Here is a 27,489-nt window from a genome sequence, read left to right on the forward strand (position 1 = left end):
TGTACAATTCAATGATTTTTAGTATAAAGTTGTGCAACAAAATCCCCACAAACAATTTTAGAATATTTTTATCACCTCAGAAACAACCCATATCTATTAGCAATGACTCCACACTTCCTCTACTCTAGCTCTAGGAAAACATTAATCTGTTTTCTGTTTCTATAGATTTGTCTCTTCTGTACATTTTTTATATAAATGGAATCATATAATATGTGGCCTTTTATGATTGGCTTATTTCACTCAGCAAAGTCTTTCCAAGGTTAATCCATGTCAGACCATGTATAAGTACTTCATTTTATTGCAAAATGATATGACATTGTACGCATATGACATACATTTTCTTCAGGTGACAGACATTTGGGTTTTCTACTTTTGGCTATTGTAAATAACGCTGCTATAAACATTTTTGTGAAAGTTTTTGTGTAAACATATCTTTGCATTTTTGAGGGGTATATTCCTAAAAGTAGAATTGAATTGCTGGGTCATATGGTAACTCTGTCTTTAACCTAAGGGCTGCAAGGCTGTTTTCCAAAGCAACTGCACCATATTATGCAAGCAATCCATGAAGATTCCAATTTCTCCACATTCCTAGTTGTTCTACCCATTATTGAAAAGGAGGTATTGAAGTCTCTAACTATTGTTGATTGGTTTTTCATTCCTCCTTTAAATTCTGTCAGTTTTTGCTTCATGTATTCTGGGGTTTTGTTAGGTGCATATATGTTTATAATTGCTATATTTTTAAGAAATAATTTTTTATTATAAAATGTCTCCCTTTATTGATTTTTTTGGTTTAAAGTCTATTTTGTCTAATATTAGTACAGTCACCCCAGTTTTCTGTTTTTTATTTTCAAGATGTTTATTTTCCATCCTTTTATTTTCAACCTATTGAAACCTATTTGTCTCTTTGAATACAAAAGATATAACCTATCTGTGTCTTGTGAAACCTATTTGTCTCTTTGAATACAAAAGATACAACCTATTTGTACAACAAATTTGTTGTTGTACAAATAGGTTGTATCTTTGAATCTAAAGTATGTCTTCTATAGACAGGATATAGTTTGATCTTGTTATTATAAACTTTCTTAAAATTTCTGCTTTTTAGTTGGTTCATGTAGTATATTCACATATATTATTATATAATTAGATTTATATATGCCATATTAGTTTTTGTTTTCTACAGGTCTCCTGTCCCACTTTTGTTCCTTTATTGCTCCTTTACTGATCTTTTTTGAATTGAGTACTTTCTAGTGTAACATTTACACTACTTTCATGATATTTTTAACTGTATATTTTGGAGTTATTTTCTTAGAGGGTGCTCTAGAGTTTCTTATATGCATAATAACTTAATAGGGTCTACTCTAGATTTATAAAAACTTACTTCCAGTTAGACATAGAAACATACTCCTTCTTAGCTCTATCCCTTCTTCCCTCTTTTTGTGCTATTATTTTTATGCGTATTACATGCGTGTTTGTTAACACCAACCATACATGGTTGTAATGTATTGTTATACCTAACTTGCCATCCCTGTGCCTTCTAGCCTCAATCATTTCTGATGACAAGTCAGTTGTTAATTTTATTGGAGTTTCCTTGTAAATAATGAGTCATTTTTTTCTCTTGCTACTTTCAATTTTCTTTGGTTTTTGGCATTTTTACTATAATGTTTGTAAGTGTGTATCTCTTTTGTGTTTATCTTAATTGGGGTTCACTGAGCATGTTGAATATGCAGACTACTGCTTTTCATAAAATCTGAGATGCCTTCAGCCATTATTTGTTTGAATACTTTTCTGCTCCTTTCTCTCCTCTTCTGCTTTAATTCCCAGTAGGTGCAGATTCATGCACTTTATGAACCCCTACATTTCTCCAATAATCTGTCTATTTTTCATTATTTTTTCTCTGTTCTTCAGATTACATCATCTCTACTGATCTATCTTCAAGAATTCTGATCTTTCTTTTGAGCCCCTCTAGTTTTTTCTATTTCATTTATTATAATTTTAAACCCCAGAACTTACATTTGGTTCTTTATAATTTCTAACTCTTTATTGATATTCTGTATTTGATGAAATATGTCATTATGCCTTCTTTTGCTTACATCAGAATAATTTCCTTTAGTTCTTTGATCATAATTATAATGATTGCTTGGAAGGCTTTGTCTGTTAAATCCGATATTTGTATCCTCTCTCAGGCAGTTTCTCTTGTCTGCTGCCTTTTTCGGTTTATGTCACATTTTTCTGTTTCTTAGCATATCTCATAATTTTTGTTGAAAATTGGACATTTTAGACAATATAGCAATCCTGGATATTGACACTTCCCTTACCAAAAATTGTTTTTGTTCTTTTCTTGTTTATTTGCTCACTGACTTGGCTAGATTATTTTAATTAAGTCTATCCCCCTTCCCCAGTGTTCATCTCTGAGGCCAATTTTCAGAGGGCATGGCCTTGGACCTGTACATAATCACCCCAGGATGACGATGGTTTTAACAAGACTCGTTTTGAAAGTCTCTTTCTTGATTTCTCGGTCAAACTGTCTGCCTCTGCTGACATTCAATCCAGCTCTTAGGTTCCATTACTTTCCAAATGATCCCTTTACTATTTTCTGCAATGCTATACATGGCATTCATTGCTCTACAGTCTGATCAAACTGAATCAGGTCCCCTTTGCATGGGTAGCTGTTGTGGGCAGTCATTGAGGTTTCTTTCTGATGCCAGGAGCAGTCTTCTTAGTGGTGTTTTCCCCCTGGTTCTTTCTGGTAAACTAGCTTTGGTAAAGTTGTGGTTTACTATAGAGTACCACACTCCTCTTAATTTCTTACCACCATCATCTCCTTTGTTTCTAGAGAACTCTTACACTTATACTTCTCCACATTCTGTTTCAAAGTCAGTGCCTTTGGGGAGAGCTTCAGAGTTCTTCGTTCCTAAGGATTGTACCCTGGGCTAAATATCTGCATCCCTGCTCTGGAACTGGGAGCTGGGAGCTGGGACCATGGCCCTCTTCTCTTGGAACGGTGCCCTGGCTGGGAAGGAGCAGTAGCCTCTGCTTTTCTCAGCTTGCATCCTTCACTGGGGAGCCTCCACTGTATGACTGAGCTTGGAAAGGGTTGATCAGAATCCCAACATTCTTGGCTTGTCATGCCTGAGGTTGCACCTCCACCCTGTGAATGGGGGTTGGGGAGAGGAAGCGAGCCCTATCCCTTGGCTGCATCTGCCAAGAATTTAGGCTCTGGAACTCCAGACGCAGGAGGTGAAAAATGTTGGAATTTCACCAGGTATTATCTTTTTGGGGGGAGTAGATTCACAGAGTTCCTCATGTTGCCATTTCAGAAGTAGAACCACTACAGATATTATTTTTATATCTGTCTCACAAATGTGAAAAGTGAAGCTCAGAAAGTTCTAGCGACTTCTTCAGTTCATGAAGCTAGTAGGTTGTGGAACCAAAATTTGAATGTAGGCTGCCTGATGCTAGTGCTGCTTCCTCAATCACAGTGCTATTTGGCCTCAATAGAGCTGCTGATGATATCAGGCAGGCAATAATGATCATAATTATGCGATGGACCGCTTCCCAGAGTTCAGAGCTCCAGAGTACAACCATGTTTGTTCTCTGGCTGATTCTGGTGGTTTCTCTGAATTCAGAATGTCCTCCCAATCTCCCTTCCTTTGAACCCAGCTACAAGTGACAGCACGTGTCCTAAAGTGGGTCTTGTCCCAGACATGGAGGAGAGGAATGGACCTGGCATTTCCTACACCTACTGCCTGACAAGTGAGTTCCTAAAAAACCACATGTGTATGAGTTACCACTCTTCTCTGAGCTTCAGTTTGCTCATCTGTAAGGTGGGCCTTTCACTAGGCCTCACGTCACCGAGCTGATGTGAGAGTTAAGTGAGCCCCAAGTCTGTGAAGCATGTAATGCAGAGCCAGCAGTGCAGTGAGTGCTGGTAAATGTGACCAGCTCTCCTTATTTCCATGTCTTTCTGCACACAACAGGTGCTTCCTACCTACACAAAGGAGGTAGATATGCATGTGTAGGTGAAGGTGAAGCACAGCCAAGTGAGCACAAGACCCAGATTAAAACAGATGCAGGTGTAAATTCTGTCTCTGCCACATCCAGCCTCTATGACTGAGGGCAAGTCATTCGAGCCTGAGAAACCAGTGTCATTCCCATTAGAGACGTGATGAGACTATGTCAAAAGTTGTTCCATGGAGCAAAGGTTAGACTCCATAGGATGCACGTGCCAAGAGTAGATGGCATCACTACGCATGAGGGGGCAACAATGTGGGGTGCTGAGGGAATTGCATTTGCCATGCTAATTCTTCTAGGGAAGAGGCTTGTTTCCTGGGTTTCCTCCTGAGCACTGAGAACACAGAAGGAACTAATTATAATCACACACATCAAAAAAGACAATGGTCATTCACTGATCACCCACTATGGGCCAGGCATTTTGTAAACCAAGTAGTTGTTATACTCCTCATTTTGCTAATGTGTAAATGAGGCTTTACCCCAGCAATTAGGGAGGCCGAGGCGTACCTGAGGTCAGGAGTTTGAGACCAGCCTGGCCAACGTGGTGAAACTCCATCTCTAATAAAAATACAAAAATTAGCTGGGCATGGTGGCACACACACAGTAATCCCAGCTATTCGGGAGACTGAGGCAGGAGAAGCGCTTGAACTTGGGAGGCGGAGGTTGCAGTGAGCAAAGATCATGCCACTGTACTCCAGCCTGGGTGACAAGAGCAAGACTTTATCTCAAAAAAAAAAGGAAAGAAAGAAACCTGCCCAAGGTCACACGGCTAATAAAGGCTGCAGCCAAGGACAATAACTGAGGCCCATTTGACACCAAACTTGTGCTGTTGATGCTACATGATTCTATGCAGGAGGGCAGAGGTTAGTGCTTCCACCAGGACAGGGACTGACTGCACTCACTACTGTTCTAAACCATTTACATGCATCAATTTATTTAATCTTCATAATGCTACTGAATACGTTATTTTATTATCCCCATTTTACAGATGAGAAAACTAAGGATAGAAAGGTTAAGTATCTTGGTGAAGCCGGAATTCACTTCTCAGCCATTCAGCTCCTGAGGGCCACCCTGAACTGTGACTTCATCTCTGCAATTCTTTCCTGACCCATCATTAATTGCATTCACTCATCAGCTGAAAGATTCATGAATACAATTCATGCTAGGCCAGGTGCTGGAAACTCTGTGACTATAAATCACAGATCAGGACACCTGGGAGTCCTCTGATGCTGGGATGGAGGAGGTGCTGTGGGAACACAGAGCTGGGTTTTGGAGTGATGTCTTGGAGAATTAGACACAGTTGAGTAGGAATGATGAGAACTCATGAGCCAAGCAGGAAGGCATGGGGAAGAGAAAACAGGGGTGGGGAGAAGGAAGCATTATTCTTGGCAGAGGAAAGAGCCTGTGTAATGGCCAGAGTCAGGAAGGGCACAACAAAATGACAAATTAGAGGGTTAGTAACTGTGATGATTCAAAGCACAGAATTCTGGTTATGGGGTGGCAAGAGACAAGGCTAGAGAGTCCGCCAAGACCATATTCAGCAGGCCTCCATGCCCATGGAGAGGAGCTAGGGCTTCATCTTGAGGGTGGTGTGGGAGTAGTGCCTGGCCCCTGCCAGGTATTCAGCCCACACTTGCTGATTTGCATGATCGGAGGGCCCTGGGTCCCCCACGCCCGCCCTGAGGTTCAGCCATGTAGAGGAGCAGCCATCTACTCACCACATCACCTTTCTCTCCCTTAGGTCCAGGAGCGCCAACCGGCCCAATGGCTCCTATGTCTCCCTGAGGGGTTGAGACCAGAGACAAGCATCAGATTAGGTTTCCCGACAGGGCTCTTGCACACACAGGACCCTCACGGCCAACCTTGCTCCAATTCCCTAGAAGCAGCTGACTTCATCTTTGCCATTTCTGCAACGAGGCCACATGTCCCACCCCTGGAGAGGAGGAAGCATCTAAGTCATCTCCCAACATCACAATTCCAGGAACCACGGACTTCTTGAGGAAAGCAAGTGCATGAAAGCATTGCACATTCATCCTTGGGAATGGCCTGCCACTGATCCCACCACCAGGGCCTCGGAAGGGGAAGTGGAAGTTCCAGGTTTGAACAGCAGCTCTGCCACTTCCCAGGAGCACACCATTACTGTCTTTGGGCCTCAGGCTTCTCTTCCATAAACAGGCACGTCATCACGCAGGCACATAAGATTAAGAGCATAAAGGTGCTTTGAAAACTTCCAAGTGTCCCATCCAAGTACTAACCAGGCCCGACCCTGCTTAGCTTCCGAGATCAGACGAGATCGGGCATGGCACATGTATACATATGTAACTAACCTGCACAATGTGCACATGTACCCTAAAACTTAAAGTATAATAAAAAAATAAAATAAAATAAAATAAAACAAAACTTCCAAGTGTCAACCAGAGTCCCCTGGGCATTCAATTTGTATAACAAGTCCATCCCTGTGTACCTGGGGCCCTCATAACTGTCCAGGAGGAGAAAGAGAGCAGGTAGAGGAAAAAACTGTGTCTGCAAGGGAGGAAAAACTCATCACAAGCCAAGTGTTGAACTGGAACCTAAATCTCCTGCCATCTCATGAGCCAATCCAAGATAGGTGTAGGCACAGGAAACAGAGCCTTCAATTCTATTCTTTTGTCTTTGTTCTTGATCTGAAACTTTATCTCTCTTGTTCCCAGCTCATCTTTTATATTCTAAGAACACATGGCTACTTTGCTTATGCTATTCCCTTTGGCTATGATGCCCTTCCCTGCCTCCTTTGTCCTGAGCAGTTCCTGTCTATTCTACTGGACCCAGCTGGTCAGGGCTGTCAGCAGAAAGGTGTCCTGAGGTCCTACCAGGTAGCAATGGGGCCTCCCCTCTCAGCCCCTCAGCTCCTGGGCCCCTCTATCCTGACTCTCTTCATACTATCCCAATCCTCTCTTTCCTGCTCCCTTCCCCCTGGCCTATGAGTCCTGGGGACCAGGCTCTCAGTCAGTCACTTTTATATTCCCACATCACAACTGGGCCTTGCACCTGGCAGACTCAGCCTATGCATGTGGACAGAGCCCGAGCTCTGTGTAGGGACACGGAGCCACCAGGAACCCCAGCCTTTGACTCAGGGTCCTAACCATGGTTTGGGACAATGTGACGGATGACACTATAGGACCACGATTGCAAGTGAGCTCTGCAGGAGCCGGGCAGGTCTCCAGGTGGCTGCATCAGTTGCCCTTTTCAGTGCTCTTCTCCTCCCACCATTTCTGCTCTCCTTGTGGGGCCCAGGGCCTGCTCTGCTCAAGCACAGCAGAGGCAGCCATTACTAAACAGCCCTTGCTTCACACAAATGTCTTCTACTGAGAGGCCTATGAAACCCCAGGTAGTTTGCGCTTTCCTCCCGTCACAGCCGAGAATCGAGGTGACTTCTCAGAGGAGCTCGGTGATGCAGAAACCCCTGCCATCCTCCTCACAGCGACCAGCTGGCACCTGGGCTGAGCCGCTCTCCATCAGCACAAAGAGAAGACTCACCAGGGGAGAGGAGCTGAGGGGGCAGCGGGTGTGTGTGAGAGTGTGATGGTGTGTGTGATGAGGGGTGTGTATGTGATGAGGGGTGTGTGTGTGATGGGTGTGTGTGTGATGAGGTGCGTGTGGTGTGTGTGTGTGTGATGGGATGTGTGTGTGATATGGGGTGTGTGTGTGCATACGTATGTATATGTGATGGTGTGTGTGTATATGTGATGTGTGTGGTGGCTGTGTGTGGTGGGTGTGTGATGGGGTGTGTGTGATGGCGTGTGTGTGATGGTGCATGTGTGTGATGGTGTAGGTAATGGTATGTGGTGGTGTGTGTGTGATGGTGTAGGCAATGGTGTGTGGTGGTGTGTGTGTGATAGTGTGTGTGATGGTGTGTGTAATGGTGTGTGATGGTGTGTGTGTGTGTTAGTGTAGGTAATGGTGTATGGTGGTGTGTGTGTGATGGTGTATGTATGTGTGATGGGGTGTGTGTGCATATGGGTATGTGCATGAGGGTGTGTGTGTGTGGTGTGTGTGTGTGATTGGGTGTGTGATGGGGTGTGTGTGCATGTGTGTGAGATGGTGTGTGATGGTGTCTGATGATGTGAGCATGCATGTGTGTGTGTGTGATGGTGTGTGTGGTGGTGTGGGATGGTGTTTGGTGTGTGTGTGATGGTGTGGCTGTGTGATGGTGTGGATGTGTGATGGTGTGCATGGGTGTGTGATGGTGTGGGCATGTGATGGTATGTGTGATAGTGTGTAAAGGTTGTGTATGGTGGTGTGGGATGGTGTGTGGTGTGTGTGATGGTGTGTGTGTAATGATATGGGATGGCATGTGATGGTGTGTGTGTGTGATGGTGTGTGTGTATATGTGTGATGGCATGTGTGTGATGGTATGTGTGATGGTGTGTTATGGTGTGTGTCTATGTGTGATGGTATGTGTTTGTGATGGTGTGGGACGGTGTGTGAGGGTGTGTGTGTGTGATGGTATGTGTGATGGTGTGTTATGGTGTGTGTCTGTGTGTGATGGTATGTGTTTGTGATGGTGTGGGATGGTGTGTGATGGTGTAGTGATGGTGTGTGTATATGTGATGGTGTGTGTGTGTGTAATGGTATGTGATAGTGTAGGTGATGGTGCGTGATGGTGTGTGTCTGTATGTGTGATGGTGTGTGTGTTTTTGATGGTGTGTGTGTATGTGTGATGGTGTGTGTGAGATGGTGTGTTTGTGTGTGATGGTGTATTATGGTGTAGGTGTGATGGTGTAGGTGACGGTGTGTGACTGTGTGTGTGATGGTATATTATGGTGTGTATGTGTGATAGTGTGTGTGATTGTGTGTGATGGTGTGTGTGTGTGACGGTGTAGGTAATGGTGTGTGGTTGTGTGTGTGATGGTGTAGGTAATGGTGTGTGGTGGTGTGTGTGATGGTGTGTGTAATGGTGTGTGATGGTGTGTTTGTGTGTGATGGTGTAGGTAATGGTGTGTGGTGGTGTGTGTGTGATGGTGTGTGTGTGTGATGGTGTAAGTAATGGTGTGTGATGGTGTGTGTGTGATGGCATGTGTATGTGTGATGGGGTATGTGTGTGATGGTACGTGTGTATATATGTGTGATGGTGTGTGTGAGATGGTGTGTTTGATGGTGTGTGTGTGATGTTGTATTATGGGGTGTGTGTGTGTGTGTGATGGTTTGTGTGTGTGTCCGTAGTGTCACATCCTAGCACAGTGGGGGCAAAGCAGGGAAGGGTGTGAGATGAGGGAGGGAGGGATGCCAAGGAAATATCTACAGTCAGGAGAGAGAGAAAAGAGAAAGAGAAAAGGCAGAGGAGAGGAGAAACAGACAAGGCAAGAGAGGAAGCAAGGAGGGACGCATAGGAAGGGAAGAATGCCCAGCAAAGGTGGACAGGAAGAAAGCATCGCTCAGGCGAGTCATTTCACCATTTCGGCTTTTGATTTCTCATCTGGAGAATGGGACCAATGCTGCTTGTCACGCAGGGTTGATTTAGGGTTTGCTATCACTCATTCAACAAGAAGGGACCACCTGCAACGTGCAGAGCCCTGAGCTCACAGCAGCGGGCACTGGAACGGTAATCCTTACCCCACAGCGCCTGCTGTCTGAGGCACAGGTAGGCTCCCACTCAAGCCTGACACACAGCAGATGCAGTCATTGTCACTGCAATTCAGTGGAACAGGATGGAAGATGGGAAAGAAGTGGGCAAAAAGAAAGAGATTCCATGTACTCCCTGGTCTGTCTGCACCACGAGACTCAGGCATGTGACGGTCAGGTCCTGTCTAAACCATCCTCTAACCCCAGCATTGACCTCAGGGCCTGGCCCTCAGCAGGTTTCACTAATGATGCACTGAATACATTATTCAAACTAAGAAATGCAGGAGGAGAAATAGGGGGGAGAACAGAGTGGAAGGAAAGAGAGAGATGAAAAGAGATACAGAGAGTGAGAGATAAAGACAGAGAGAGACAGTGACACATAAAGAGAGGCAAAGGCTAGGGAGAGAAGGGAAAGAAAGGGAGGGGAGGGAGAGGCCCAGCTGTCTCCAGTGATTTTCACCCACACACTCAGTTCCTCTTTCAAACACGGGATGATGGTGAACTCTCCACTGTGCCTTGATAAACAGTATAACCCTGGGAAGTGACAGAGAGGAATGAGACCACTCTGTGACTGAGGACAGAGGGGCCCTACCTGGCTTGGTGCAATTAGTGAATTTGGAAATCATGTGTTTAAAGGGTCATGCAGTTTAATGAATCTTAAAAGCCCAACCCCTAAAAGTTTCTGGAATACAGCAGCTTCAACCAATTGCTGCAAAGTTAATTGACCATGGAGAGTTGAGCGTGTTGGAGCAAATGAGACCTGAGCCAGGGCTCTGGGAATCTAACCCTTTCTTGCTCATATTTGCAGACTGAGAACTGGAGGTTCTGGGCAGTTAAGAGGCTCCCAGGATTTCAGACTTTATGACATTTGCTCTTATCCATCTAATTTAACAAGCTCTGAGGCAAAATATTAGCAAGGCAGCATCCCCACACACCATCTTTTGTCTTATATAGACAGCAAAGGAGAGGACAAGTGAGGTTCTAAACTACACCTCTGCCATGCCTGTACTGACCTTTGGACCAGGGAGCCCCATGGGGCCAGCAACTCCCATTTCACCCTAAAAGAAGAAAGACAACAAAAAAGTAAGTTTCTATTTTAATTTTCCCTTTCTCTCAACACTGGATGGTAATCCACCCCCACATGCTTAGAAGCCAATGGCTTAGTAAGCCCAGCGCCGACCAATGAGTTGGGCAAGGAAATTGGTTGACTGTGCTGAAAGTCTCTGCTCTTGAACTGCAAACCTATACGGGAAGCTTTGGCACAGCCTCCAGGTGCAGCTACCGGTGGACACAAGATAGAAACAAGCAAACTGAGGCACAGAAAGACAAATACCACATTTCTGCTTACTTGTGTAAGTAAAAGCATGAAACACCAAGAAGCAGAAGGCAGAGTGGTGGCTACCAGAGGCTATGGAGCGGGAGGAATACACACACGTTGTCAAAGACTACATGCCTCAGACAGGAGGAATAATGAATGGTAAGTATTTGAGAGGATGGATATGACAATTAGCTGAGTTCAATCATTCCACATTGTATACATGTATTATGACATCACTTTGTACCCCATAAATATATGCAATTATATAGTTTGTCAATACCCAAACTAAATATGTAAATAAATTAAAAAACCCAAAGGGGTATTCACTAGCTATTTTTACCTGAATATATCATCACTTCAATTAAAAAGAAAATTATGTTGACTGCTAGCGGTTCATGTAGTTATTGTTCACTAAAATACAAAAGAGGACATATATGTAAGCTATTTCTAAATGTAAACTTTGTTTCAATTTAACAATGTGTAAAGATCAGGTTACTGGATTTACAAATGTAATCTGTACGTGTTCGATACATGTAAATGTCGCCAAGCTGAAAACAAATGCAACACGATTAATATAATTTTATAGATATAAATATCACCACATTAAAAAAGGCAGCAGTACATCCATTTATGTGTTCACTTAGTGCTAACAGCAATCTACACTCTGGTCACAGTTGCACACTTGGCCAGCTCCGGAACACACATTTTTAAATGCATTCACAGATGTCATTTGCTCAGGCAAACGAAGATAAATAATTTTTTGTGTGTTTCTCCTCACCTAGCGCCCACAAGAGTGCCTGGTACACAGTTCACTCTCCCCATGATGTTTGCTTATAGAGATGCAACACCAGGCATCATGTTGACCTAGCTGAATAATGAAAATGTTTTGCAAACTCAATTGAAGTTTTAAACCACTGGAAACAATGTCTGTCTGTGGCCAGAGCTCTGCCTCCTAGGAGAAAACATTCAGACTTCCTAGGCCCCCTGTGTTGTATTTTTTTTTTTTTATTGAAACGAAGATGAAAGAGACAGAAATGATACCTGCTTAATGAGGTCATTGTGAAGTTCTTCCGCTCCACGGGGCTATTTTGTGGGGAGGGAAGCAGCAGGCTCCCTTCTCACCCCCCTGTGCTTGGGAAGTTCTCTAGCAGGCCTGCTGTGAGATCCTTGGGGCTCAGCCAGGCCTCAGAGCTCCTGGTTTCCTAACCAGAGTGTAGACTACAGAATTTTTGAGGGCCAAATTCTATTTGTCTTAAAACCTCAGTGTACAGCATAGTACACAGCACATAGCAGATGCTTAATGTCTATGGTTAGACTTTAGAAGAAGGAATGAAGGAGTGATTAAGTCATTATTGAATCATGCCATCCTAGGCATGGGGCTGGAACAGCCAGACCTTGTCCTGCCTAAAGGAGGAGAGGGTGTATTTCTTTTTCTTCTTCTCTTTTTTTCTTTTTCTTTTTTTTTTGAGACAGAGTCTCACTCTATTGCCCAGGCTGGAGTGCAATAGCACGATCTCGGCTCACTGCAACCTCCGCCTCCCGGGTTCAAGAGATTCTCCTGCCTCAGCCTCCTGAGTAGCTGGGATTATAGGCACACACCACCACGCCTGGCTAATTTTTGTATTTTAGTAGAGACAGGGTTTCACCATGTTGGCCAGGCTGGTCTCAAACTCCTGATCTCGTGATCTGCCTGCCTCGGCCTCCCAAAGTGAGAGGGTGTATTTCTTTATCCCTCCCTCTCATCTATCCATCCACGTATCTGTCCATCCATGTCTTCATACCCTGATTGACTTATATATCAACTCAGCTCTTATTTATTGGCTTTCTCTGTGCCAGGCTATGTATTAGTAGCTGAAAATACAGACATGGAAAGATCCAATCTCTGCTATCCAGAACTTATGATTTTATGGAAGTAACGATAAGGAGACATTTTCAATCTAATGTGATAATTGTTATAACAAATAGAAGTACAGGGAGAAAAAGGAATATGCTGTCATGGAAATAGCAGGTGCTAAATGAATAACTATTGAATGGATGGATGGAGAATAAGGAAAGGAGGAGGAAAGAGAGGGAGGGAAGGAGGAAGGAAGGAGAGGACACGAAGGAGGGAAGAGGGAAATGACACAGATAATAATGTGTGCAGAAAAGAATTCCTTGGGATGTCTTGGAAGAAGAGCAGGCATTGGGTCTGGCATCGCTCCTGGCACAGTCCATCTGTGTGCACACTGGCTTGTGACCAAAACCTTACCATGCCATCACTCATCCTGCTCATTGCTTTAAACAAGGATTCCAGCGGATTTGGGTTTCAACAGCTGCTTCTGTTATTTCATTGACATGTAAAAACCATATCCTCAGCCTGACTGCGGTGGACCTTAGCCTGCCGGGGGTGGGTGGAGGAGCTGCTGCTTGGCACTGTGTGCACCAGCCCTGGCTCCTGCCTCCGCCCCATCTCATCCCTTACACAGGCCCCAGGCTGAAGGGCTCTTAAGGTCACCCACTAACCAGAAATAGCCTAAGCTCACAGCAGGCTTCCAGCTTGGGCCTCCAGCAAGGGAGGCCAGAGTTCGATGTCCGAATTAACTGAGAACTCCCCAAGGGTTCCCTGTACCTCACGGTCTGGCTTTCTGGGTAGCACAAAAAGAAGGAAGGCAGAGTGTGAAGGAGAACAGAGGAGAGGAGAGAGGGGAAGGAAGCCAGTCTGTCTACCAGGATAGGCTTCTGAAAAGAAGACTGCTGCTACAATACCCAGAGCAGGCCCACTCCAGTTAACTCCCACCGTCATCTCGTCTGTTTGTCTATGCATCCATTGTCCCCAGCAGAGTCACCAAGCACCTCTCACATGCAGGGACTGAGCTGAGAGGAACAGATAGAGAGGGACAATACAGCCCGGTACAGGAGATGAAGGGCCCCGGGGCCATTGGCTCAGCAGAACTTCGCAGACACTTTCCCCAGCACAGTTCTACTTGGCGTCTGCCTTTTGTAAATCTTTCTGTTCCTTCTACTCAAATGGAGAAGAACTTTTTTACCCCTTATCAAGGGTCACTGTCTATAGAAAAAGAAAACAAATCACAGCCCTGGGCACACAGTGAGATATTTATTCTAGTCTCAGTCCATTCTAGGACGGTCGTGGTGGTGTTCACAGAAATGCACCACTTTTTAAAAATAGAAACACATAGACAAAACTCTACATATATATATATACACACACACACACACACACACATATATATATACACATACATACACACACATATATACACACACGTACATACACATATATACACACATATATATATATACACGTGTATATATATATGAATGATAGTGAATGGTTAATCAAAGAAAACATTGAGAAGAAAGGAATGAGGGTGTGTTCTTGCAAAGCACATAGAAATCCTCACTCACTGTCTTCTTCTGAGTCTTATTCTCAAACAGCATCTCATTTGACTCAGTCACCCCTGAGTGGAGATCACAAAGGAGTAACCTGGGAAGCCTGGGGAACGCACATTCTGCTCCTAGAAAGCTTTCATCAGGACCTGGTATGCAGCAATCCCCTTCCAGTGTGCACAAGAAGCAAGAGGTCCAAGGCACAACACAGGGTGCTGTCAGCTGACAGCCATGGGCCTCCTGGTGCCCCCCTGACCTGAAAGGCCACATGCATGATGGGAAACTCCCACTGCACCACCCAGGGTTCTGCTGGGGCTGAAGGTGGACTGCAGACAATACCTTCTCTCCAGCTGGGCAGGAGCAGTTGATGGTCTTCAAAAACCCAATCTGTTCACTGCCTGGGGTGGGAGGCCGCTGGGGTGGGGGTGGAGGTGGAGGCTCTGTCACCACGGTCACCTGGCACTGGAAGGAAAGCCCAGGAGGTCAGAACCTGGCTCTTCACTCAGCAGGCACTCCCTGGCAGAAGCACAGTGTCGGGTGCTTCCTCAGAACCAGGCAGCCAAAGGTTGAGAAAACGCTGAGGATGTCTCTCCTGAGGCCTTGGGGCAGAAAGCCTGGCCGGCCCAGGCTCAGCCATTTCACTGGCTGGCTCAGCAATCTGGGTGAACCGCCCACAGTCTCACACCTCGCAAGTGCTCAACAGTTCCCGCTGTCCCTATTCTCACCTCCTCCTTTTCCTTCTTCATCCCATTCTGTTCTTCCCTCACCCTCTGACTCCACAACCAGGTCCATCTGGCTGCACATTCCCAGCACCTGCTGTCTATCTGCATGCCACAGAAGCCCTGAGCCGGGTGCGCTGGCTGAGTTGGAACTGGGTCCTGGGGATGAGGCTAACCAGGCATTGCGTGGATCTCACCCTGCAGCCCGGGAAGCAGGCTCCATTATTATTTGAGTCTTTCAAGCAAGCCTTGTGACCAGGACTTGGCAAAGAGGGTTGGAAAGGGAGAGGCCTGAAACGGGGCAGAGGCTGAGGTCCGAGAACAGAGCAGAGCCTGCACAGAGGGATTGAAGGGGCAAACCCTGGTGTCTTGGGCCATCCATGTCCTGACCTCCCTGTCTTGCTGACCAGCCCAGGGCACTGCGGCCTCTCCCTCCTCTGGGCGCTGGTGGCACGGACAGTCATCCCCTCATTAGAAACACCCTCCCAGCCCCTGCCTCCTACATCCCCTAGAGCAAGGCTTCATCACTCAGCTAGCAGCACTGGGGTTACACTGACTAAGGTACAGACCACAGTAGCCCTGGAGGAACCTGCATGGCTTGGCTCCCCCAGCCCATACCCTAAGCTCCCTCTCAGGCCATATTCTGATGGTGGATGTCTCCCTGACCACCAACCACCCAACCCTAAGCTCTGGATTCCCCTTCCCTCTGGAGGCCACACACCCATTTCCTCCCATCCTCTCTGTGCGAGAGTCTGCTCACCGGACCCGAGGGGATATCACAACAAGTCTCCAATTCTGCGTGTCTCGAGTCACAATAGATCACAATCCGCTGTAGGTCAAACTGGAAAGGAAAGCAAGGAGAGAGGATAAGTTTTAGGGACTTTGGAACCCAGAAACCTCCGTGGTTTCACACAGGCCCCGTCCTGGTATCTGGTTCCACTTCCTCTTTGGGGTCTTCCTGAGTCCACCCCAGGATACCCCTATCCTGGGCTCCACTCTGGATTTTCACAAGGAGCTAAGCATCATCTGCTCACACCCCTGATCTGGCTTGGCTGTGTCCCCACCCAAATCTCATCTTGAATTGTAGCTCCCATAATTCCCATGTGTTTCGGGAGGGACCCGGTGGGAGATAACTGAATCATGGAGAGGGTTTCCCCCATACTGTTCTCATGGTAGTGAATAAGTGTCACGAGATCTGATGGTTTTATAAGGGGTTTCCCCTTTTTCTTGGCTCTCATTCTCTCTTGACTGCCACCAAGTAAGATGTCTCTTGTTCTTCTGCCATGACTGTGAGGCCTCCCCAGCCATATGGAACCGTGAGTCAATTAAATCTCTTTCCTTTATAAATTACTCAGTCTTGAGTATGTCGTTATTAGCAGTGTGAGAACAGACTAATACAACCCCTTCCTTCCATAAGGGAGAGCCCCCGTGCAAGGGGCTTCAGGACACGTTAAAGTCCAGCGTTTCGTTCTACACTGAAGGGGCTTCAGGACACGTTAAAGTCCAGCGTTTCGTTCTACACTGAAGGGGCTTCAGGACACGTTAAAGTCCAGCGTTTTGTTCTACACTGAAGGTGCTAAGGCCTCTGCCCTCCGCTCCGCACACAGAGGCACACCACCATCCTCTCTCCAGGTCACCAGCACTGCATTGAACAAGATCCTTAATGATGCTATTGCAAAGGCCTCCAAGTTCCACATATCCCTATTTTCAACCTCTCCAGGCATTTCCACAGTTGTTTCAGTGAACTTTTAAAATAAAAACTTACTTCTATCACCTCCTTTAATATGACAGCCCCTTAAACAAGACGTAACACGTAAAAAACCTAAAATTTAAAGGGGTTGTGGTGCTAAAACATCCACATGCATGAACACATTCACACACACACAGTCTACAGACAAAGCCCAGGCCCTTTCGTGGGACACCCCACCTGCCAGGGCCTGGCCCTGCCTGGCTCCCCAGGTGTCCCTCTCTTCACCTGCACTTGCACTCTGCAGCATCTAACCACATGGCAAACCACACCTGCACATTCACGCTTTAGCACGTGGTACCTCTTCTAGGAAAGCCCTTGAGCAACGAGCAATCTCCCAGTCACCACCCAGAGCCATATCCAGGTATCCCCTTTAGGGGCTGTTTTTCAAATACATCCACAGATTGGGAACTTAATTCCCCTCCCCTGGTGTGAAGTGATGGCATGTCACTTCTGAGATCAGGTCATAAGAAGACTGGCTGCTGTCTTCAGTGTGTTCTTCTCTCTCTGTCTCTCTGTGTGTCCCTCTCTCTCTCATCACTCACCATGGGGCACAGAAGGTAGCATGTTGTCAGCTACTCAGTGGACAGGCACAGGTGGAAAGGAATTAGGGTGGCTGCAAACACTAGCAAGGAACTGAGGTCCTCCATTCCACAGCTCACAAGAAGATTCCAACAGCTCCTAGTGAGATTGGAGGTGGCTTTTCAGCCTTATTTGAGCTTTGAGATGACTGTAGCATTGGCCAGCAGCTTGAGGGCAGCCCAGTGAAAGACCCTGAGTGAACCACTCAGCTAAGCCACTCTCAGATTCCTCATCCATGGAATCTATGAGACAGTACATGTTTGTTGTTTTAATCTGCTTTTGCTGGGGGAGATGGGATAACTTGTTACACAGCCACAGGTGTAACTGATACACCTCCCTCTACAGCCAAGAATTCATCAGGCCCTCTTCTCTGCCACATGTGCATCTTGCATGATATGGTTTGGCTGTGTCCCCACCCAAATCTCACCTTGAATTGTAATAATCCCCATGTGTCAAGGGTGGGGCCAGGTGGAGATAATTGAATCCCCATACTGTTCTTGTGATAGTGAATAAGTGTCATGAGATCTGATGGTTCTATAAACGGGAGCTCCCTTGCACACGCTTTCTCTTGCCTGTTGCCATGTAAGATGTGACTTTGCTCCTCATTCACCTTCCACCATGATTGTGAAGCCTCCCCAGCCATTTGGAACTGAGTCAATTAAACCTCTTGCCTTTCTAAATTACCCAGTCTTGGGTATGTCTTTATTAGCAGCATAAGAACAGACTAATACATTGCACAGACAGCTAACATCAGACACAGCAGACTGAAGGATAATTAGACGTCTGTATGTCCATCTTCCTTCCAGGCTCCAGGACTTCCGAGAGCAAGGACCGAATCCCAGGCAGTGCTGCCTTCTCAAGCACGAAAGCCGAACTCTTGCTAATGTATCAGAGCTGTCGACAATCTCTCGCTCTCCCCAGGCCCTGCAGGACATGGTTCAAGCTCACCCCTAGTCTGCCATGCTCATTGCTCCCTTTCCTTCAGCCACATTGGTTTCCTCCTGCCACCCCTCCTGCTCCTGCGCTGGCTCCTCAGCCGCCTGTCCACACACAGGCCCTCCCTGTCACTCTAGCACAACATCCTGAATGTGGTCCTAACAGCACTTCTCACAATGAATGATTCTGTCTGTTTCTTAGCTCAGTTTTTTAAACATCCCTAATAGAACATAGACCACGAGGGCAAGGTCTCCTGTCTCCTGTCCTTCGCTGGAGCAGTCCGACTCATAAAAGTGCCGTACAATCGATGGCTGGGTGGACGAGTGGATGAATGGATGGGCATTTATCAAATGGAGCTTGAGCTCAGTCAGTGGAGGGGGGAACGCTTATTGCATTGAACACTGATGCAAAGTGCCCTGGACTGACCACTCCCCTGCTCCCTTCTCAGGCCCATGTTGGACTCGGGAGTCCCTCTGCACACTGAAGTGCCCCTTGAAGTGTAGCCCCTCACCCCACTGACTTTGTTCAGCAGAAACAATAACAATACCATTCATCTGTCTGTTTTATTTCCTGTAGAGAACCAGCCCAGAAACAGGAGAAAATGACAAAATGAAAAATTGTGGTTTTGAACAAAGCCTACTTTCAGAGACAGCCCTGCTTTCTTCATTATCAAACATACTCGCAGCAGCTGGGACTGCCTGGCAAGGCCGCAGGGACAGGGAAGGAGAAGAAGGAGACAGGAGGCAGGCCAGGGACAGAGCACACTGGATTGGGGATCTGGACAGAGGCGTTCTCAGGTGGGGTGAGAGGTCCTCTGAGCCAAGAGGGGCCCCTTTCCGATTGCCTGAAATGCCAGCATTGCCCCAGCCACTCAATCCTTCTCTTCCTTTCCTCCCTGCCCCACACCCTGGGATTTCACCTCCTGACATCACTGTGCTGCCCCACTCCTGTCTGGAAGTCCTGCTCCGGTTTCTGCCCTCAGCAATTATGGGTTGAACTGCTGCATGGGTCTGCTTGGCTCCCTGGATCCCAGCTTCCCTCCGTATCCCACCCATCAGCAGCTTAGAGACCCTTTGCTGGCTGCAGTGTGGAAACCAATTAGGGAGCACAGACAGCTGGAAGGCTGCATTCAGCACGGCCCAGTCTGAGCCTCAGCTCTACTTTTCTGTCATATCAGCTGGTCAAGTTAGGAAAACTGAACCTCAGTTTTTCTTTCTGTGAGATGGACTCACAGGGCTGTGGTGGGAACCAAGGAAAACAGAGTCCATGACAGCACAGTGTCAGCCACAGATGAAGCTTCAGTGTAGAATGTGTAGGATGCCCCAAACCATGTGGCTACAAGTACCACAGCTGATGCTTCTGGAAGATTTACTAAGAGGTAGAGATGTATTGATTCTCCTATATATTTTCTTGATACTTGGTTTTAACATAAAAATGCAACATGGAACAGTCAATGGGTGTAATACCCCCATGGACACTCTTCATTATTCTCTATTGCCTCTAACCCAGCTGAGAACTCCCCATGTGCCAGGCACTGTTAGGTGCTGTGTTTACATACTGGTGATCTCACTTAATCCTCACAATAGCTCTGACAGGTGTGAGTTTCCACTGTCTCCTTTCTATAGATGAGGAAGTGAAGGTGCAGACAGGTGAGGCCACTGGCCTGGGTGTTTTAGTCTAGTTTAGTAGACCTAGAAACGTCTATTCAAGAAGTAGCATCTTTATTTAATTTGGGAGCACTGGTAGCAGAGCTGGAAAGTGAGTTAGGGAAAGGAAGCTAGCCTGTAAAGGGCTGTTATCAAGGGTGTTACCACTGTGAGCATCTGCAGTTTACACGTGTTGGGGAACTCTGGAGCCCGTCAAGAATATGTGACTCAGAGTTAGGATGTCAAGTGGTGAGGGAGCTGGGGTATTGATACTGCAACTGCCACCAGTCCTTGGCGGAGGGCTGCTCCTGTGGGTGTTGATGCCTGCTTGATAATGGATAGCACTGTCTCTGGTAGAGACGGAAAGCCCTCAGGCAAGACAGGTGCAGGCAGTTGGCAGCACAGCTGGTATGCACTGAAATGATGAGGACCCAGGGGGATATAGGTGGGGAACCAACTACTTCTACTATACTAGGGTGTTGTATGTGGTGGGGATGTGTCCAGAAGGAAACTCAGGTCTGATTTCCAATCCCCTGTTTAGGGGTCGACCATATAATACAAATGGGTACCTTGGAGAGTACCAGAAGCTAATCCTCTTCCTGTTTTCAAAACCTGACACCACCACCATGATAATGTGAAGATGGTGGTGATGATGTTCATGATGACGCATTTATTGAAAGCTGGCGGTATTCCAGGAAGTTTTATAAGCACTTCACATATGATACAGCATTTAATCACACAACAACCCTGTGGAGGGAGGGCTCATTTTTCTCTTGTTACAGCTGAGGAAACAGCACCAGAGAGGCTATAGGGGAGCTTGGACTCCAGAACAATTTTGTTTAACTCAAAGGCTAAGACAGGCATTTTTAGGGATGTGGGGCTATTTGCTAAAGTTGGCACTTATTTTAGGAGACTTTTAACTCAAATATAGTCTCCCACTACCTCAAATAGAAATATAGTGGAAATCTCATTGTTGGATGTTTGGAACCAGGGTTAGAAGGATCTAATCTTGCTCTATATCTTTGGACATGTTCGTTATTCCCTCTGAGCCTCCGTATCCTTGTCTGTAGAGTAAATGAGGGGCTGGATAAGATGCTCTCTGGGTTCCTTACAGCTCAGAGGGTATCTGCTTCAGGGACTGTTATTCAGGGGCTGACAGTAGAACCATGGAGCTCACAGAGCCAGAGTCCTAGCCTGGCTGCCCAAGACAGGGAACTTAAACAAGTCACCTGATACTTTTCAGTTGGAATCTCCCCACCTATAAAATGTGAGCAGCATCCACCCACCTGGCCTGAATTTAGGATTAAGAAGGGTTGTGTTTGTGACCGTGATGCACACTCTGAGGGAGATAACAGTGATCCTTATTGTGTCATAAATACCCCATAGCTCCATCTTGTCCAGCCCTTTGATGTCTGTTATCTTAGGCAGGGAGAGGTTTGCAAATGGACCTGGAAGACGGGCTGCGTGAGTGGAAACCCCAACTGCCATTTGTTGGCTCTGTGATCTCAGAAGAGTCCTCCAATTCTCCAGGAGCATCTCTCTCCATCTGTGAAATGAGGATGTCCACTCTATCTACTTTCTGAAGTTGTAAAGATTTTGGTCAGAAATGGGGTAAAGGAGCACTTTAGTGCAATGCGTGGCACAGAGCCTCTGCACAAGTAGCTAGAATTAGCAGCAGGCTGAATAATGATTTTATAGCTTTACTTTTATTTTACTATTTTTTGCTTAACTTGGTTCCACATCTATTATTTCATCCCCTCAGCAACTGCATATAAAAACAAACAGGGTGTGATTCCCATTTCAGAGATTAAACAATCTAACAGATAAACAAAGCCTGGAAAACATGAACAGTGTGTGACGTGGGCGATGGTGTTACAGCTGGCTGGCAGTGGCTGGCATGTGAGCTGCAGTTTGCACGTGTCTGTCCTCCCACCTCTGCAAGCCCCAATCTCTCCTCTCCCCACTACCCCTGACCAACTCACTCTCAGCTTAATTTTTAAAAATTGGTATGCACAGGGTTTTTGATGATTTATCATTCTGTTAACAAAGCAAGTTATGACAAAGTCTATAAACCTGTTTATGATGTCTTTTGCCAGAATGCCACTTCCTAAAATTTTATGTTTCCCAACTTACTCATTTTTCCTTATGGTTTATGTTTGACAGACCAGGAAACAATTTTGCAGCATGTATAACAAATAAGCAATTAGTATACAAAATATGTAAAGGTTATCTAGAAATCATTCAGTAAATAAAACTAGCATAGTAGTAAAACAGGCAAAGGATATGGCCTAGCATCACCAAAGGGGGACGTGGGAACCATCAGTAAACATAGGGAAGGATTTCCAGTCTCAATGGTAATCAGGCAAATGCAGATGAAAACCGCAATATTACCCTCTATGCCCAGCAGACTGGCAAAACAACAAAACATTATACACATATATTTTATATCTATATAATGTACCATTATATAGATATAAATTATATGTATCTATATATAATGTTCACATGTTTATATATTTATATATTATATATAATGGTATATATAATTATATAGATATAAATTAAATAAACATTATCTATATAATTTATGTCTATAATGTATGTATATGTTTATATAATGTTTATATATTATATATAATTTATATATTTACACACAACATATATATATATTCACACACACACATACATACACACATATAAAGGTCACTTTCTAGAGCAATTTGAAATACATGGGAAAGTTAAAAATTGTGTATCCCACAGCCCAATCATTAAACTTGAGGGTACATACCTCCAAGAAATGCTCTCAATTAATCTATATCTCAAGCTTAAAGGACAGCTGTTGCTTACATTTTCCTCATAAGTAAAGTGCATGGAGATGTACCCCCCTTTTCAAAGTCCAAGGCTTCCTAATTATGTAGTGATACATTAGAAACTATCTAAATACCACTAACAGGAGAATGAATGACGTATGAATGAATATATAACAAAGCATTATGCTTTAGCTAAAAAAAAATAAAAGCTTAGACACATGATTTTGAGTAAAGAAAACAAAAAAAGCCAGATGTAGTCCATTATTTACATAAACTTCCAAGAATCTATCCTATGCGTAATGGTACTATATTTGCTTATGCTTATGTATACATAGATACATAAAATGGTTTTGGAAAGAGCTTTCCCCACATCATGTTTCCTGTTATTTCTCAGGCAGTGGGGGATGCTCTTGGGCATGGGAGCTAACGTTGACTTCAGCTTGAAGATGGAACATGTGGATCACTGTGCAAGGTGTCTGTGTGTATTGTATTATGTACATACTTACGGTGTATGCATCTCTGTGGCTACAGATGTGGGTATGTATTTCCAGAGGGAAGAAAGAAAAATTAAAGAAATGAAAAAAACAGAAGAGAAATGAAGTAAGGAGGGAAGAGGAAAAATAAAAGAAGGAAAGAACATTGATTCAGGATGTTCAGTTATTGCCAGTTGTTATCCCTAGTTGGTGCAATGAGGATGATTATTGTTTATTTTCCACATATTTTCCAATTTTTTTTACAATCAAGGAAGAAGGAAAAAATCTGTATTTAAATTTATCAGAAACTATTATATACCTATCCACCTACCTGCATATATATATTCATATACATATGTATCTATATATGTATGTATGTGTGTGTGTGACTTTGCAGACCTAGGAGCTACCTTTCTCTAAAATTGTTTATGCGGCCAGATCCATGTCAGTCTTGCTCTCTTTTGCGGGTACCGGTGTCCCCAGTGCAGAGCACAGTGCCTGGCACATAGTAGGTGCTCAATGTATATGTGATGAATGATTGATGGAATGGTTGAATAACCGAATGAGTTAATACATGGGTGATGGTGAATTGGGGTTCAAATATGGCAGTTTTCTGAGTCAGGGTCTTTCCTTCTAAGACGGTCCAAGGTGATGATTTGGTACCTGGTTCATGCAGGTGTGGAGAACACTGAGGGCACTTAGCTCCCAAGGCTTCTCCCCGGTGGCCTGGAACCTGGGCTGCAGAAGGCCCCCTGGTACTCACGTCAATGGGCACACTGTCGTAGAGGCGCTTGCCAATCACAGTCTTGCCCTGGATGTCAATGTTCTCCCGTTCCTCGATGGGTAGTGTCTGCACCAGCGCACAGTCAATGTGCAGGGAGACGTTCTGGGCCTGGATGCTCAGGGCCATCTTGTGCCAGTCCCGGTCAAAGAGGTCATTGACCCGAGAACCTCGGAAGACCACCCTGACAGCATCTTTCATGGCACCCACAGCGTTGTACTCGACTGCCTTGTTTTCACCATCCAGCCGGATGGAGACCTGGGGAGGAAAGGACCAGAGACTCCTTGAGCTTCTTGGGGCCAAGGGAAAAGGAGAGAATGGGAAACGGGAGTTCAGAGTCAGACCTGGCAATCCTGAGTCAATCCTGGCTGTGACTCTTACCAGCTGGTCACCTGCCACCTGAGCTTGGACAAATTCCGTCACACCTCTGAGAGCCTCGGGTTCCTCCTCGCACAATGGTGTTAATGATGTCTACCTTGCAGGCTGTTCTAAACCCAGTATTAAAAGGAATAATTGCACTCATACATTAACTCAGGGGTCACAGCCTCAACTGTCTGGAAGGGCTATGCGGGTAAGAGAGCTTTGGTGAGACTCCAAGACAATTCATGCACAGAGGGGCTTGAGTTGTGAGACCAGCCAGAAATCCCAACTAGTTTCAGTGTCTTTTAAAATCGTGGGCTGGTTAAACCAAAAATATCTTCAGGCCTGATCTATTACCCTACACTGTCTTTTATTTGAGGATAAAGCTGGGGCTCCCATAAAATGTTTCTTGATAGCAGAGGTCTGACCTGTCTGGGTCATTGGGGTAGCCTTCGGAAAATGCACAGGCATTTTGGAATGGGCAAATTCTGGAGAAGATTTTACTGTTTTACTTCCGATTTTTTGTTTTGTTTTGTTTTGTTTTGTTTTGAGATGGAGTCTCACTCTGTTGCCCAGGCTGGAGTGCAGTTGTGTGATCTCAGCTCACTGCAGCCTCTGCCTCCCAGATTTAAGCAATTCTCTTCTCCCGCCTTAGTCTCCCGAGTAGCTGGGATTACAGGTGTGCACCACCACACTCACCTAATTTTTGTGATTTTAGTAGAGACAAGGTTTCACCATTTTGGCCAGGCTGGTCTCAAACTCCTGACCTCAAATGATCTGCCCACCTTGCCCTCTCAAAGTGCTGGGATTACTGATGTGAGCCACCGTGCTCAGCCTGATTGCTTTTTAATAATGAATAAATGATTATGTTCTCATCCATGTACTTATTTTGTCATCCCTCCAGAATAGTCACCAAACATCCTGTGTGCCCAGCAGGCAACATGCCAGGTGTCAGGAACACAACACAATCAGTGCACAAAAGTATGAACAGAATAGAAGGCACAGAACATGAGTATCCATTGAGTGAATGAAATAGTATTTCCTTGTTCCATCTCTGCAAGGTTAGTCTTCATCTGCTCTAATATTCACGTGTTGCCCTTCCCTGGGGCTCCCTGCTCCCAGGATCTGACCTTTTAGGACTTCTTCTCGGCTCCTGGACCCTTTGGCTTCTAGTTGAGCTTGGCCCATGGGAAGTCCATTGGAATGGAGACCAGTGAGCAGGAAGAGAGAGAGTTGGAGTATTTATTCCTCCCACCCCTCCTGGCTTCCCTGTGGCTCCTGAGTGGCTTTGTCCCTCCATGTGCCCCAGTTCTTTGGACATATATCCTCCTCTGTGACTCTAGAACTCACCATCTCCTCCCCGTTCCCCTGCCTATCCAGGCCCAGGTGGTAGCTTCCTCCTGTGGCTGATCCTGGCATGCCTTGGCATTTCTTGTTGGTTTCCTTAACCCTTATCCCTTAACCGCATCAGCTCCCTTAACCCCAGTTACTTTGCTACAGCACTCGTCAAAAATGTGGGCCCAGTGGGGGCTGTCTCTTGCTAGCCTACATCTAAACCAATGAATCACTTTTTAGCTGTGTGACCTTGGGTAAGTTATTTAACCTTTCTACAGCTTCCTCATTTGTAAAATGGGACCAATAGTAGTGCCTATTTGTGAAGAGGATCATATAAATTGATCCACGATAATTTAATTAATGAATTGTCACGAGGATTATGAGAAGTATAATATATATAAAACATTTATATAGTATTTATTATTTGCCAGGCACTGTTCTAAATATTTGCAATAATGAATTAAGCAAGTTCACAGGCATCACAGCAGTGAAACCTTCTCTGATAAACATGTATTCTTGGATTTTAACCTGGCCATCTGTTCTCACATCCCAAGATGTGATTTATTGGCTTTTTTCTTTTTTCTTTTTCTTTCTGTCATCCCAGCTGGAGTGCAGAGGAGTGATTCAGCTCACTGCAACCTCAACCTCCCAGGTTCAAGCAATTCTCCTGCTTCAGCCTCCCGAGTAGCTGGGACTACAGGTGCGCACCACCATGCCCAGCTAATCTTTGTATTTTTAGTAGAGATGGGGTTTCACCATGTTGGCCAGGCTGGTCTTGAACTCCTGACCTCAGGTGATTTGCCTGCCTTGGCCTCTCACAGTGCTGGGATTACAGGCATGAGCCACTGTGCCCAACCATTTATTGACTTTTTTCATAGCACAGCATCAGTATATGAAATTATCTTATGCGTATCTTTTGTTCACCTTTTTTGTCTTTCCCATCCATGCTTTTAAACAGGCATTTTCTCTCTTCATCTCTGTAATCCCAGTGGCTAGGAAAACACATGGTACACAGTGGCACTCAATAACAAGGTACTGAATGCATGAAGGAATGAACAAATGAATAAGAGTCTCTGTAGTTAAAGGAAGGTGCTCACGTAGTGCAGGGGGATCAGCTACGTATTCAACACAACCTGGGTCTTCTGGTCTCTTTTTCTGTGCTCCACATGGCTTCAGTACAACCAAGGAAGACTGGGATTTATTTTAATTCCATCACCTATTTTATGCTATGAGTAGGGCATAAAATAGAAAACTATGAAACCCTGTCAAATGATCTAATACTTCTAATACATATAAAGCTAATAATTGCATGATTAAACATGGTCTTCTATTTCATATGTTCGAGCACTGTGTCCCTGAACCTTCAGAGCTTCCTGGGGACATGACTTTCCCATGTTTCTGCCTCTAGCATGATATAGAGCAAGGGAGGGCATCCAGCAGTCCGATGTCTTGTGTTTACCAATACTAGCTGGGTGGCCCTGGGGAAGGCACTTTCTATGTCAGCTCCATCAGCAAATCCTACTGGTTCTATTTTCAAAATTAATCTATAACCTGATTGTTTCTTCTAATCTCTCTATTACTGCCGGCATCCACACTTGCCTGGATCACTACTATGTTCTCCTAATTTGTCCTCCTATTTCTGGGCCTGTGCAACTCCACAGAGTCTCTTCTCAAACAAAAAGTCCCTAGACTGGCCTACAAGACTTATTGAAACCCAGCCTCAGTTTACCCAAATGACAAATGGGGAAAATGTCAGCTTTTAAGGGTGGTTGTAAATGGCAAA

The 27,489-nt window shown here is 45.3% G+C and overlaps 1 protein-coding gene across 12 annotated transcripts in view; it reads right to left on the reverse strand.

The window, feature by feature from the left end:
• COL22A1 (collagen type XXII alpha 1 chain) overlaps nt 1–27,489 on the reverse strand; it is a 325,807-nt gene that overhangs the window by 208,908 nt on the left and 89,410 nt on the right. For all 12 annotated transcript variants that reach the window (XR_001745487.2, XM_017013150.3, XM_011516886.4 and 9 more), the window contains 5 exons: nt 23,994–24,269; nt 15,797–15,877; nt 14,657–14,779; nt 10,626–10,670; nt 5,730–5,792 (listed from right to left, as the gene is read on the reverse strand). Coding sequence is in view for 11 of the 12 variants with exons in the window: in XM_017013150.3 (XP_016868639.1) it covers nt 5,730–5,792; nt 10,626–10,670; nt 14,657–14,779; nt 15,797–15,877; nt 23,994–24,269 (588 nt within the window). In the remaining variant the exon portion in view is untranslated. The remainder of the gene's footprint in view (nt 1–5,729; nt 5,793–10,625; nt 10,671–14,656; nt 14,780–15,796; nt 15,878–23,993; nt 24,270–27,489) is intronic.

This window comes from Homo sapiens, chromosome 8 (genome assembly GCF_000001405.40).
Source record: "Homo sapiens chromosome 8, GRCh38.p14 Primary Assembly".
Lineage (NCBI taxonomy): Eukaryota > Metazoa > Chordata > Mammalia > Primates > Hominidae > Homo > Homo sapiens.